The 15,178-nt window shown below is 38.5% G+C and overlaps 1 protein-coding gene across 5 annotated transcripts in view, besides 1 other annotated feature; it reads right to left on the bottom strand.

The window, feature by feature from the left end:
* Positions 1-15,178, bottom strand: part of PTPN12 (protein tyrosine phosphatase non-receptor type 12) — a 102,775-nt gene that overhangs the window by 86,567 nt on the left and 1,030 nt on the right. The gene's annotated exons all lie outside the window — the stretch shown is intronic.
* Positions 12,954-13,535: an enhancer, noted in NCBI's record as "H3K27ac hESC enhancer chr7:77169285-77169866 (GRCh37/hg19 assembly coordinates)". NCBI's record gives its function as "activates a minimal SCP1, AML or CMV promoter by ChIP-STARR-seq in naive H9 embryonic stem cells {active_cell/tissue: H9 hESC(naive)}" and the evidence as "EXISTENCE:reporter gene assay evidence [ECO:0000049][PMID:30033119]".

Raw genomic sequence — 15,178 nt, 5'->3', positions numbered from 1 at the left:
AGCATAATCCTTAATCCATATGTGTCTAACAATTGTGCATAAAAATATGTGAGCCAAAACTGATAGAACTGCAAGGAGAAATATTTGAATCCACTATTATAGTTGAAGACTTCCGTACTCCTCTATCAGAAATGGACAGATCAAGCAAGCAGGAAATGAGTAAGGACACAGATGAACTTAACAGCATCATCAATCAACTGGATATATAATGCACGTCTATAGACTACCTAAGACAACAACTACAGAATACACATTCTTCTCAAGTTTACATGAAACATTCAACAAGACAGACCAAATTCTGGGCCATTAAACACACCTCAACAAATTTAAAACAGCAATCATACACAATGTCTGCTCTCAGACCATAATGGCACTCAAAAAATTTTGGATGTAGGGGCATTTTAAACTTCAGATTAGGGATGCTCAGCTCTGTATTTTCAGATAATTAAATATACTATACACATTCTTTCTGTCTCTGTCACCAAAAAGGTCCAAAAGAGAAAAAGAGCAAGGGGTGGCCTTTTTCCCCTCCTATTTATTTAACTTCTCACTTAATGCCCTAATCATGCTTCCTTCTGACACATCTGACACTGTGTCCTTTATTCTTACTAATTCAAACATTACAAACTATTTCTGTTTTAACGATAAAGAAGCTAAGATTGAGAGTGGTTCAAATCATGTACTCAACATTACATAGTAAGTAATGGCCAGGTCTAATACCTATATAACTGTTGTAAACCATATCATTGGACTGTCCACTATAATGCTAGACACTCAAATTCCTAACAAAGATATGTTACTTCCATCAGGTCTTTTCTTCCCTGCCTATTTTTACTTTTGTACATTCCTTCGTTTACACCCTCTTTAAATAATTTAAAGATTCCTGCCCAGTAGTATCACCAGATTACCTTTCCCTCTTTTATCTATAACCTGTTTTAAAGGCAAAATAATAATTTATAGATCTAATCCAACCTACATCCTATTTTAAAAAATGATAAAACCTCTATACCTTCTTTAACAACTAGAGAAATAAATGATGAGGTCATTTTAGAACATATTTGAAAATATCATACATATGATGCTGAGACCTTATAAACAATACAAAAACAGCATCTAATAAAGCAATGACAAGAAATTAAATGTATTGGTTAAATATTCATCCTGTACTTCTAGTTTAAGTTGCATTTTCAAAAAAAAAAAAACATACTTTAAAAGTAATCCACCAGGGAGCAGTGGCTCATGCCTGTAGTCCTATCTACTTAGGAGGCTAAGGCAGGCGGATCTGTTGAGTCCAGGAGTTTGAGGCTACAGTGAGCTGTGATTGTGCCACTGCACTCAAGCTTGAGCAACAGAGACAGACTCTGTTTCTTAAAAATGAATTTTAATAATCTTCTATCTAAATTATAAAGTAATTTTAAAATAAACTTTTTACTTTTGTGCACCATCTAATAATGTCAGTGAATGGGTGTGGAGATAAATATCTGAACATGTTTAATTATTTCAGTTGCAAAATCCTATTACTAATAACCACCCACCCTATGTTTCTCCTTGGCATTCATACAAGGGGTCTTCAGAAAGTTCATGGAAAATATGTACCATGGAAAAAACTATGCATGGATTTCAATTTTGTTTTGCACCAAAATAAACTCATACTAACTTCTTATAACATGTCTGATGAACAGGATCTCATTTGAAGCACTAAGAAGTATAAGATATCAGTTTGAAAAGAGCCCCTATCAGAACAACATGAATTCTGCTAAAAAACTGAAGCAAGAACAAAACATCAAATTTATGGCAAAGCTTGGATGGAAGAATGGTGAAGCAAAGTTTATGGGGACAATGCCCCAAATATCAGCAGCTTACAAATGGATGCCTCTTTTTAAGAAAGGACAACGTGATGTTGAAGAAACCTGTAGCAGCAGACCATCCACATTGATTTTTGAGAAAAAAATTCATCTTGTCACTTGCCCTAACTGAAGAGAACCTGCAATTAACAGCATAAACAATAGCCAACACCACAGACATCTTAAGTTGCTCAGCTTACACAATTCTGACTGAAAAATTAAAGCTGAACAAATTGCCACTCAGTTGGTGCCAAAATGATTGCACCCAGATAGCTACAGACAAGAGCAGAGCTTTCAATGGAAATGTTAAACTGTCATGCCTGTAATCTCAGCACTTTGGGAGGCCAAGGCGGGTGGATTACCTGAGGTAAGGAGTCCAAGACCAGCCTGGACAACATGGCAAAACCTTGTCTATACTAAAAATACAAAAATTAGCTGGGTGTGGTGGCGCACACCTGTAATCCCAGCTACTTGGGAGGCTGAGGCTGGAGAATCGCTTGAACCCAGGAGGCGGAGACTGCAGTGAGCAGAGATCATGCCCCTGCACCCCAGCCTGGGTGACAGAGCGAGACTCCATCTCAAAAACAAAATGAAAAATAATAAATAAATAAATAAATAAACAAGTGGGATCAAGATCCTGAAGCATTTCTTAAAAGGACTGTAATAGGAGATGAAACATGGCTTTACCAGTATGATCCTGAAGACAAAGTCAATCAAAGCAATCTACCAAGAGGTGGCAGTGGTCCAGTCAAGGCAAAAGTGGACCAGTCAAGAGCAAAGCTCATGGCAACAGTTTCTGGGGATGCTCAAGGCATTATGCATGTTGATTTTTCTGGAGGGCCAAGGAAAGACAACATCTGCTTATTATGAGAGTGTTTCGAGAAAGTCAGCCAAATCTTTAGCAGAAAAACATCCAAGAAAGCGTCACCAGAGTCCTTTTCTACCCACAAAAATGCCTCTTGCTCATTCCTCTCATCAAACAAGGGCAATTTTGTGAGAGTTCAGATGGGAAGCCATTAGGCATCCACCTTACAGTCCTGATTTGGCTCCTTCTGCCTTCGTTTTGTTTCCTAATCTCAAAAAAATCTTTAAAGGGCATTCATTACTCTTCAGTTAATAATGTAAAAAAACTGCATTGAAATGGTTAAATTTCTAGGACCCTCAGTTCTTAGGGATAAACAAAATGGTTGGTGTATCATCACTTATAAAAGTAAACTGATGGAGTTTATGTTCAGAAATTAACTTTATATTTTAATTTTAGTCTATTTATAAATTTATTAATAAATAACATTTATTTACTTAATTCCATTTTTCCATGAGCTTTTTGAAGTCCCCTTGTATAATCTATTTACCGTATTAGATGAATTACAAACAACTAGGTGTAAATTACAGACATTTCTAAACTACAAAGTACCTTCCAGTCTATCTCTACTACCCACACGTTAACACACATTAATAAATCTTGGGCACAGACAACCAACTGACTGAGTAGGTAGAGAAAGGTGAGTAGGCAAATAGAATTTCAAAGGGAGGCACAAAGGCAGGCAGGCAGACACACAGGCACAAAGACAGGCACACTAATAGCCAGGCAAACACAATGAATATAGTAACACATAAATTTTAGATGATTCATGAACTAAAAGAACTATAGTTAGGATAATTTTAACAATGCAAAACCTATTGTGAAGAAAATATGTTAGTTTTTCAGATAGTGATATATTTCTGACATATGATCAGGGAGTAAATCATAGTGACTACTTTGATAAAAGTGATCCTTAGGGCCAGGCACAGTCGCTCACACCTATAATCCCAGCACTTGGGGAGCCAAGATGGAAGGATTGCTTTAGGCCAGGAGTCTGAGACCAGCTGGGCAACATAGTAAGACCTCGTCTCTACAAAAAAGGTAAAAAAATTAGTAGGACATGGTGGCAACATGCTTGTAGTCCTAGCTACTCAGGAGTGAGGTGAGAGGATCACTTGAGCCCAGGAGGTCAGGGCTGCAGTGAGCTATGATTACACCACTGCACTCCAGCCTGTGTGACAAAGCAGGACCCTATCTCTTAAAAAAAAAAAAAACAAACAAACAAAAACCCAAACTTTAAAACAGGATTTCCTTGCAAGAAGGTTCCATATTTTAATGTTGAAAAATTATAATTTAAATTTAGGTACCATAAATAAGCAGCTTATAGATAATCTTAATTTTAGTTTGCTACACAGAAACCTTAAAATTTTGCCTGATGTTTAATGTCTAACTGTAAATGTGAAATAATGCTCTGCCAGAGCCAACAAATTGTTCTCTCAAGTCACAAGGACTCTTTGTGCTTTTTCCATCTCTGAAAGAAGGTGGGTGGAGTTCATATGGAGCTGAAACCTTAAAATAGTAAATTTTTTTTCAATTTTGCTTCAAGGATTCTCTACTAGACACTCTTTGGACTGCCCGCCTAGTTATCAAGCCATCCCTTCCTTTCTCTAAAAAAAGTTCCTTCCTTCCATACACATATGAATAAGCTCACCACCTTATACAACACCCATCTCACTGGCAAGTTGGTTATTTTCTTCAGGAAATTGAAAACAAGATGTAGCAATTCTAGTCATTCTGAGCTCTTTCCATAATTTGAGATAAAAGTGAATGAGACAGGTTAGATTACCATAAGGGATGTCTTTATTCAGCACATGCAGGCCAAAACAGTGAAAGTCAAAATGCAGAGAGAGGTAATAGTAAAGCAGGTGTGCAGAGAAGCAAAGAGAAGTATCCAAGCAGCCCCAGAGACATGGAAACTTGAAAACCATAGAAAGACAAAGAGGCTGGCATGGAGAGAGGAGTCACCCAGGCTCTCTATTTCTTGGTTCTGATGCTTCAACCTGCTCAAGGGCAGTATTCCATTGCAATAAATTCTTTCTTCACTTAAGCTACTTTTTGGAAGTAGGCTGCAACCAAAAATCTATACTGACAGAAAACTTTTTTTGTAATTTTGAGGATATTTATGCTCTACTCTAGGGGGGTAGGAAGTGGGGCTTTATTGACTTTTTCCCTAAGACTGAAAATGTTGGCCTAAGCAGCATCATGTCATATAAAAAGCATCTGCTTTCCTAACTTGGGTCTAACCCAGTTCCACCACCTTTCTATGGCAAGACCTGTAACAAGCTCCTTAATTTCTAAACAGTTTTTATGTTCCTTCTAACACTAAAGAGTTTATGACGTCAGGAGTAAAACCAACATACACAATGGGGAAGAAGGTGTCTAGAGAAGTTATTCTTCATGGTTTTGTAGCATGTGACCTAGAACTCCCTTCCTTTCTCACGTTGGTTCTGGTCACAAATGCAGTCTCAAAACCTCTTCAGAGTCATCTTATGGAAAACTCAATTCGCTGAGGAATCCAAACTAAGCAAGAGACCCACCATTATAAATAAGCTGCCTTAGTCCTGAAGGCTTTTTAAATGTAATTTCTTTCTACAGGGCACTTTAAACATATCTGATAGATGCCAATGAGAAACACTAATCTAGTCATCTAAGAACTGTGTAAACAGAGAGAGTACTACTTTATATACCTGAGATAAAGTAAAATTACCAGATTTAAGAACATTTACCATGTGACAAGGACTCAATTTTTAAAAGGTCCTACTGTAAGATCAAACAACTATGCCATAATAATGGAACATCAAAACACTCCTCATCAAAACACTCAGGAACACAGGCCAATTTCATAATAGCATTTAAGCTGATATTCCTTTGGAAATCCTATTATTTGGGTACATAAGATTTTCTTATTTTATACACACTGACCCTGTTCTTCCCATCTAAAACCCACAGTTCTATCTCTGTTTATCTCCAAGTCTTTGAAAGTGTTGTTGCCTTTTACTCACCTAGTTCACCTGACAAACTCTTCCTTCAAAAACCAGCTCAAATGTAGCATCTTTGTGGAAACTGTCCATGATCTATTCAGACAGATTTAGGCTCTCCTGTCTCTCTGGCTTATATTCCGAATATACTTCCACTGGAGCAGTATGTCATCTCAAATTCCTTTGACTACCTTCTATATACTATGTTAGAAACTTTACATATATTATCTTGTTCTTTCCAGGTAGGTATTAGAGCCCCAACTTCTCTAGATAATCTGCTCAGAATCACAGCAGGGCCAGGATAGAAATTAATGACTGTATAGCTCCTAAACTCCTTATCTTTCCACTAGTCTAAGGGACCCAAACTCCTTGAGAAACTAAGAGCTATGAACTTTCTTCCCCCTAAAATGGGCTTACACACAAAAAATATTATATATAATTTAAAAGGGTTCAAAGATTCCCCTGAAGCCCACCCACTGCCCCCAGGAAAAGTCCCGCTGCTTCTCACAGGTCTGTTCAGTTAGTAAACTTCCTGAACAGAGTACTGCCATGTTTTCAACTGTCAATTCAAAAACACAGTACCTAGGGCATAGTGGGCACTCAGGTATCTCCATAAATACCTTCTGTATGAATGGATAAATGATAGAGACCATGGATGGATGACAGAGACCATGGATGGATGACAGAGACAAATCTTTGCATTCCTTCAGAGCCTATCAGGACAGTCACTCAAATGTTGTTAAAATAGCTTTTTAAATGCCGATTAGATATAAAAGTTATTACAGGAAATGTAGATATTAGCACACTTCCCAAAGCCTCTGAGATTATCATGGTCCACGATATGACTAGGCTTTGTGTCCCCACCAAATCTCATCTTGAATTATAATCCCTATGTAATTATAATCCCCCATGCTATTCTCCTGATAGTGAGTTCTCACAAGATCTGATGGTTTTACAAATGTTTGGTAGTTCCTCCCATGTTCATTCTCCTTCCTGCCACCTTGTGAAGAAGGTGCCTTGCTTCCCCTTCACCTTCCACCACAATCGTAAGTTTCCTGAGGCCTCCCCAGCCATGCTGAACTGTGAGTCAATTAAACCTCTTTCCTTTATAAATTACCCAGTCTCGGGCAGTTCTTCATAGCAGTGTGAAAATGGACTAATACAGTCCACACTCCACTTTCTCCAAAAAAAACTTTTAGGGAGCAACTACTGTTTGCTTCTTATATCTGCCATAGGCCAGCTACAGACCCTACAATACTGTACAAATGCAAACAAGATTTTTGTGTGATTTCAGAAGGAAGGAGATAATTGTCAAGGTTTGACTGCATGAATCTAAAGAAACTTAAATACTACAGGAAATATAAAATGCTGGAAGAGGAGTTCAACTCATATTTGGAAAAGACTAGTGGTTTAGAAATTGCATATCACCTGATTTACCTTATCAAGTTTTCAACTCAAATCTAATGAAAGGCTTTTTTTCTTGTGATATTAAAGATCAAACTTTACAAAGGAGAAAAAGTGCTTTAAGATTAACTGTGCTAAAATATTTATTCTAGAAGGTGAGAATTAATCACATTTTTGCTTCTGAGTTTTTGGTGAACATGGTGAAGTCATTTTAAATTTTTAGCTTTCTCATCTTCCAAGTACTGGTTTATAAAATAAAAGGGGAGACCATCCTGGCCAACATGGTGAAACCCCATCTCTACTAAAAATAAAAAAAGTAGCTGTGTGTGGTCACGGGCGCCCGTAATCCCAGCTACTCAGGAGACCGAGGCAGCAGAATTGCTTGAACCCAGGAGGCGGAGGTTGCAGTGAGCTGAGATGGTGCCACTGCACTCCAGCCTGGCAACAAAGCAAGACTTTGTCTCAAAAAAATAAAATAAAATAAAATAAAAGGGAAGCTTTCTGAGGGAAAAAGTATGTTCAACAGTACAACCACAGATAAGCAAGATTTCATTCATTTAGTAGGTATGCTCAAGGACCAGGAATAGCTTCCTTCAAAAAGAAGAGAGGATACATACCAGAGTATAGAAGTTTAACACTGGAAAGGTACTGTGACATTATGTTAAGAAGGTTCTGGAATGCCAGGCTAAGAAGTACAGACTTTATCCTATAGGCCTGTGATTCTCAACTAGGACCAAAGTTACAAAATTGGATGAAAACTTCCAGGTGAAGTATTTTTTTTTAATTATTAAAAAAAACTATATATATATATTTAAAATTGGAGGGAGCTGAGAAGGGAAAAATCAGGGAATCAAATCTCTCTGGAAAGAGAGACAGACATAATTACAGTTTGAAAAAGGAGCAGCACTTGGATCATATGTTTTGAATTGACTTTCAAAATACACATTTAAAATTTCCAATAATTGTAATGGTCATCAAAGGGAGCAATGAGTTTTTTTAACTTATATTTTTAATAATAAAAATTAAACCATGCTTCCAGTGCAGCCCACATCTCCTGATTGTACAACCAGTATGGTTTCCATTAGCCTACAGATGCTGCCACTTGAAAGTGAGTATGATGTGTTGAATGGACTGGATGAGGAAAGAAACTAGAGGCAAGTAGAGAACAACAGATATCACTTGTAATCACTCTCTAAATACCCACAAATTCACTATTTTTGAAGAGATACCGATGACATGATATCTTGATTTTATTAAGTCCAAAGCCAAAAGTTTAAAAGACATTTTATTAATACTCTAAGACAATGTCAACAAAGTATGATCCATTGGGTGTGGGATGCACAAATACAGAAGTTACCTTAAGAAACTGCAGCTAATAAAATCATATTTATTTAAAATATTTGAATTCAATGTAGCTCTTATCTTGTATTTTCTTTTTCAGTGGATACTGAAAATACAACGAGTTATGTGAGCACATCTGTGTAGGAGGGGAAGAAGCAGTTCTCATGATCGTCTAGAAGACAAACCCTTGGACCACTGAAGAATTCACCTGAAGAATAAATCTGTCTTACAGCATTAAGTTTGTCTACAATGTCTGCACATGCAATGGACATTAGTGCCTATTAAATGCCAAGCACTATATTAAGCAATGGGGATACAGGGATAATTAAGTCCCAGTCTCTAGCCTGGGAGGCGTTCAGTCTGGGGAAGACAGAAATGTAAATATTTATGAATCTAATGAACTCAGTGCTACAGAAACACAGAAGTATTTAACATATGAACAAAAAACCTACAGCCACCTAAATGTTAATGTCTTACTTTCAGTTTCATCCTTTAAAAATCCTTTTTCCAAGTTAAATATCAAATATTGATGGAAAAAAGTTAATATATTTTGAAAGTAAATAAAGTAAAACATTCTTGAGAATGCTTAAAGTAAATTTTTAGTTTACTGTCTCAGTGAACCATGTCTGGAGAGTTACTTAAAAGTTCACTTCCACTTCTGAAGTTAGTTGATGTAAATATGTTTAGGTGAATACTCATCAAAGGATGGATAAGAAAACCATAACTAAACCAGTGGCACTGGGTAAGCACTAAGATTAGCTCAAATGCAAGGACTGGAAAATATTTCCTATCACTCTAGCTTTGAAAGACAAATTAAGACACACAAAATCTTACAAGCTAACCACAAGAAGATACCACTTCACACCCAGTAGGATGCCTATAATCAAAAAGACAGCAACAAGTATCGGTGAAGATGTAGAGGAACTGGAACCCTCATATATTCCTGATTGGAATGTAATATGTGCAGCAGCTTTGGATAACAGTCTGGCAGTTCCGCAAAATGTTAAACATAGTGTTACCACGTGACTGAGCAATTCCACACTTAGATATATACCCAAGAGACCTGAAAATGTGTCCACACAGAAACTTGTACACAAATGTTCATAGCTGCATTATTCACATTAGCCAAAAAGTGGAAACAATTCAAATACCCATCAACACGATGAATGGATAAACAAAATGTGGTATCTATACAATAGAATATTATTCAGCCATAAAAAGGCCAAAAGTACTACGGATCAATACTATAACATGGATGAAACTTGAAATCATCATGTTAGGTGGAGTCAGTCACAAAACACCACATATTGTATGATTCCATTTATATAAAATGTCCAGAATACTTAAATCTATGGAAACAGAAGGTAGATTTGTGGTTGCCTGGGGCTTATGGGAAGGCGGGGAGTGACTGCTAATGGGTACAGAAAGTGAAGAAAATGTCCTAAAATTGATTATGGTTATTGTTGCATAACTTCATCAATGTAATAAAAAACTAGTGAATCATAGACTTTAAATGAATAAATCTTATGGTAGGTACTTATATCTCAATAAAGCTATTATTAGTTTTTTTAAACCTATAAGCTACAACACTGAATAAACAAATGATTAAAATTTTTATATTTATCAAGACTGCAACATAAGATCTTCCCAGGCTAAAGAGGATATACACATAGACAAGAAATAATAAGAAAAATATTCTCTAGTTCTCTCTTTAAAAAAAAAAAAAAAAGGCAGTGGAAGGGGCACACTCTCCTTCAACCAATCTTCCTCTAGCTCCTACCATCTACTTTCAAAATGTTAAAAAAAATGGAAAGACACTAAACCCACCCTTCACCCTATAATCTAGCTTCTTCCCATACCCCAACCCAAACTGTTTTTTCTAGTCACCAAAGCACTCCTATGTGCCAAATGGAATAGGTACTTTCTCAACCTCACCTTACCGGTCCTCCCAGCATTATTTGACTCTGGTAATAACTCCTTTCTTGAAACTCTCCCTGGCTTTTCTGACATCTCTGGTTCTCCTCCCTCCTCCTTGACCACACCTTCTCAGGAACAATCACTAGTATATCCTTCTTTTGGCTGTTATTTTAAGACTGATGTTCTTCAACCTAAAGCTGGTCACTCTATAAGTTTGTTGGAATAAGCTCATTCACTCCCATGCTGTCGACTATCTCCTACATGCTTATATTATGATGCCTACATCTTTAACTCCGTCCTGTCAGAAATCTTGAGCTCTACATTTCTACTGGATGTCTCAGAGGCACCGCAGTTTTAACATGTTGAAAATTAAATTTATCCTCTTCTCCCCCTGAAACTTCCTCCTACAATGTTGTTTGGTCTCCTCTACTTGTTTCTCCTCCCTCACTCCTTACTCTACCAAATGGTATTCTCTAGCTTGGGTGACAGATACCAAGCTAGATATTTTGCGAGTCATAACACTATACTCTTTTCTTCTTTACTACCTACATCTAATGAATCATTGAGACTCCTTTCTTAATTCTTATCAGATGTGTTGTATACACTCTATTTCCCCATCTCAGTTCACTTCAGGCCCTCACATCTCACTTCTTATATTTCAACAGCTTCCAAAATGCCACCCTTCATACTGCTATCAGATTCAACTTTGTAAAACACAAATGACTGTTTACCTTTCTTAAAAGACTCAGTAGTGCTCCAGAAACCCAGACTAATGATTCTCACCTTTTCTACCAGAACCTATCTAAGTAAGTGAAGGTTCAGAGTACAACTCAAGGAGCAGGCTGGAGAAGGTGAGATGGGGGAATGACGCTGGAGTGGACCAGCATGTCTATTTTCTTAACACCTCCCTACTTTCTCCATGTCTCTAGGAGTTACAATGCAGACTGTCCAGAATTGCTATTATCGGTCTGTAGAATAAAATCTAAGTATAGCATAGATGTAAGATCCTTCACAAAAAGACCTCTACCTAACTTTCCCAGCATTACCTTTATCATTTACCATGTATTAGCTCACTGGTTCTCAAAGTATGGTCCAGGACCACCTCCCCAACCCCCAGCCATCAGAGGGAGTCTGTGTGGAGTTAAAACCTAGGTCTGTCAAACATGAATGTGCACCACCCTACTTTATACATTTATCTCTCATTTTGTAAATATTAAAAGTAGAGATAATTGAGATCAAATTCTGGATCAGCCACAAATTAGCTATTTGCTAATTTATTAGCAAAATTAGCATGTTTTCAACATGCAAATAACCATCTAGGCAACATAGTTCTGCACAGTCTGGGTACCTTAGCTGTCTCCTCTTTAACAGTATGGGGCACAACCAAGGCCAGGAATAGACACTCATAGAATAGTAATGACAGGTGGAAAATTTCTATCCTCAATAGTAATCAAGAAATTCAAGTTAAAACAAGATATCAGTTTTCAACCATCAAATAAAGATCAAGAAAATTATAATATGAACACTCATACATTATGACAGTTGTATAAACTGACAAAACTTTTTCAAGTTTATGAACATGTATTAAATGTTTATATACGTCTACCTAGTACTCCTGGGAAGCTATCTTATGCAACAGTGAAAAATGTCAGTTTCAGCAAAAATGTTAATCACAGAATTACTATATGTAACAGCAGAAAGTAGAATGACCTAAATACTCAAACATAAAGAAACAAAATTAAGATATAAGATAGTTACCAAGTAGTAGGCCGGCTACGGTGGCTCACACCTGTAACCCCAGCACTTTGAGGCTGAGGCAGGTGGATTGCTTGAGCCCAGGAGTTTGAGACCAGCCTGGGCAACATGGGGAAACCCTGTCTCTACAAAAAATACAAAAATCAGCAGGGCTTGGTGGGGTGGGCCCATAGCCCCAGCTACTCTGGAGGCTGAAGTGGGAGGATCACCTGAGCCCAGGGAGACCGACGCTGCCGTGAGCCAGGATCGCAACCATGCACTCCAGCCTGGGTGACAGAGTGAGACCCTGTCTCAAAAACAGAACAAAACAACAAAACAAAACAAAACCAAAAAATATTAACAGAGGTAGCCTTTAAATGACAGGACTGTAGGACAGCTGGATAGAGCGAAAAGAGCATCATCACCAGTCAGGCAAGTGGAGTGTTCATTTGAACTGTGGTCTAAGTGTAAGGCATTATTATTATTCTATTAATTTCCAAATTTGGAATAAACATTATTTTATGATGGAACAGTTATATCAGCTACATTATCTCTAAGGCTCAGTCATAAAATGTTAAGAATTTAAAATGCATTTTTAATCGACATCAGAATTTAAAAATAATAGAATCTATAAGCTAATCTTTTTTTTCTCTTTCCATGCCAGGAGAACATAGTTCCTCTCCAGCCTTCCAGTCAGGGGAAAAAGCAGCACCAACTACCGGCTGTCTTAATTACAGCTATTGCTTATCAAGTCAGGAAATTAAAAAAAAAAAAAGCCCTATAAAAGAATAGCCTTAGTCATCAAATCTCTAATGTAGAATCACCTAGCTATACCTAGGTATCATGGAAGAAAAAGGAAACTCATTTACTCTTGGAGAAATGAACTCTCGGTGGCTCATGCCTGTAATCCTAGCACTTTGGGAGGCTGAGGCGGGCAGATCACAAAGTCAGTCAGATGAAAGTTCAAGACCAGTCTGGCCAATATGGTGAAATCCCATCTCTACTAAAAATACAAAAATTAGCCAGGCGTGGTGGCATGCGCCTGTAATCTCAGCTACTCAGGAGGCTGAGGCAGGAGAATCGCTTGAACCTGGGAGGTGGAGGATGCAGTGAGCCGAGATTGAGCCACTGCACTCCAACCTGGGCGACACAGCGAGGTGTTACATCTCAAAAAAAAAAGAAAGAAAGAAAGAAAGAAAGAAATGAACTCTCCAATAGGAATCCCTGACTCATCCCCAAAGCATGAACCCTAAGGCCACTTCTCCAGTACAGGAGTTCAGAGGCTGGGCAACCTGTCCTGATGGCCCGCATCACCAAACAATGCTCCTTCCTGACGGTATATGCCTAGGGATAACAAGGTGACTAGCATGCAAACAAGAAATGACCAGGGACCACACCATCTCTTCTTCCATAACCAAAGTAAGACGGTAAAAAACTAGTTTTAGGCCGGGCATGGTGGCTCACGCCTGTAATCCCAGCACTTTGGGAGGCCAAAGCAGATGGATCACTTGAGATGAGGAGTTCGAGAGCAGCCTGCAAATATGGCGAAACCCCATCTCTACTAAAAATACAAAATTAGCAGGGCGTGGTAGCTTGCGCCTGTAGTCCCGGCTACTTCGGACAAAAATTAGCCGGGCGTGGTGGCACGTGCCTATAATCTCAGCTACTCAGGAGGCTGAGGCAGGAGCATCGCTTGAATCTGGGAGGCAGAGGTTGCAGTGAGCTGAGATTGCGCCGCTGCACTCCAGCCGGGGCGACAGAGCGTAGAGCGAGACTCCGTCTCAAAAAAAAAACCAACCAACCAACCAACCAAACAACAAAACCCAAAAAAACTAGTTTTAAACATCTTAAATATTCAAAGTATTTTCTTCTACTTTTGCTAGAAAGTAGTAAAAAAGGGACTCCATCCAATTGCTGTAAATGACACCATTCAAAAGATACCAAGACAATAAAAACTCTCAATAGTAAAAAGGGAAAATGCCGTTTTCCTTAACCCTTTCAGATCAAAAAGTAATTTTTCAAAAATACATAGGCTAAATATCAAGAGCAAATGTTTAAATATAAGCAATATTTTTATTTTTAATAAGGAATAAGTTAGATTATTTAACTTATATTTTCAATCTTCAAAAGATACTGAGAAAACTTTACTTCCGTCCTCTATTATTGGTCTGGGGAGGCGGGAATCACAAAGCTCAACGATGCTAGTATAATACTGTGTATGGTCAAGGGCCTATTTTATAAGCTGTTAAAAATTTAACGCTAAAGCTTTACTAGACCAGTCTCTTTAAAACGTGAAAAAGTATTCACTACTAAGTCATATCACCTCCACCATAAAAACTACTGTACTTTTTAAACAAAAAATAAAAACTAGCCAATGTTTGCTGCCCATTCATTTTACAGGCATTAACTGTGTATCCTTCTCATAATCAGATTTCAGAATTAAGTGATTATTCTTCGAGGTGTACCTTACCCAAGATAAAAATTTTCCCCAGCTTATTTCCCATTCCCAACCCCCGCCAAGACTAAGGAGCAACCACTTCCCAAAGTCCCACTTCCTTTTTCATTCCCCAGACCTACAGGGTTTCCAACGCCCCAGTCTTGCGCAATATCCGTAGGAGCAGCAGCCGCAACCACCGCCTCCTAAGCCGGGAAACAACCCTAGAGGGAACATTGTCCAGCAGAAAAATAAAAAGGGCGGGGGTTGGGGGGGTGGGTAACGTAGGAAGTCGACTTCTGGTCTCACGCCTTCGGATCTGACCCCCTCACAGTGTGCTAAAGCAATAGTGTATCTAGAGCAATTTCATGAACAAGACTTTTAACCTTCACCTCCTCTCAAGACTGCCTGCACAAGCAGAGGGCGGAAAGTAGGGGGTGGCGGAGGCGGGGGGGCGCTGGGAAGGTTATCTCCCAGTTCAGGGCTTCGGCCCGTAGCGTCGCCTCCGCCCCACCAGGACTATTGTTCCCAAGTTCCCCACCCCCACCCCGGATAGGAAGTGATAGTCACATCCCCTCCGCCTTCGGCAATATCCCCTGGGGAGTCCGAAGTCGGCTGGCTTCCTTCAGGATAATTCCCCCACCCACACTTATCCCCTGAACCT

Source organism: Homo sapiens, chromosome 7 (assembly GCF_000001405.40).
Source record: "Homo sapiens chromosome 7, GRCh38.p14 Primary Assembly".
Classification (NCBI taxonomy): Eukaryota; Metazoa; Chordata; class Mammalia; order Primates; family Hominidae; genus Homo; species Homo sapiens.
Note: the sequence above shows the minus strand (reverse complement) of the source record. Positions and strands in the feature narration are given on the sequence as shown.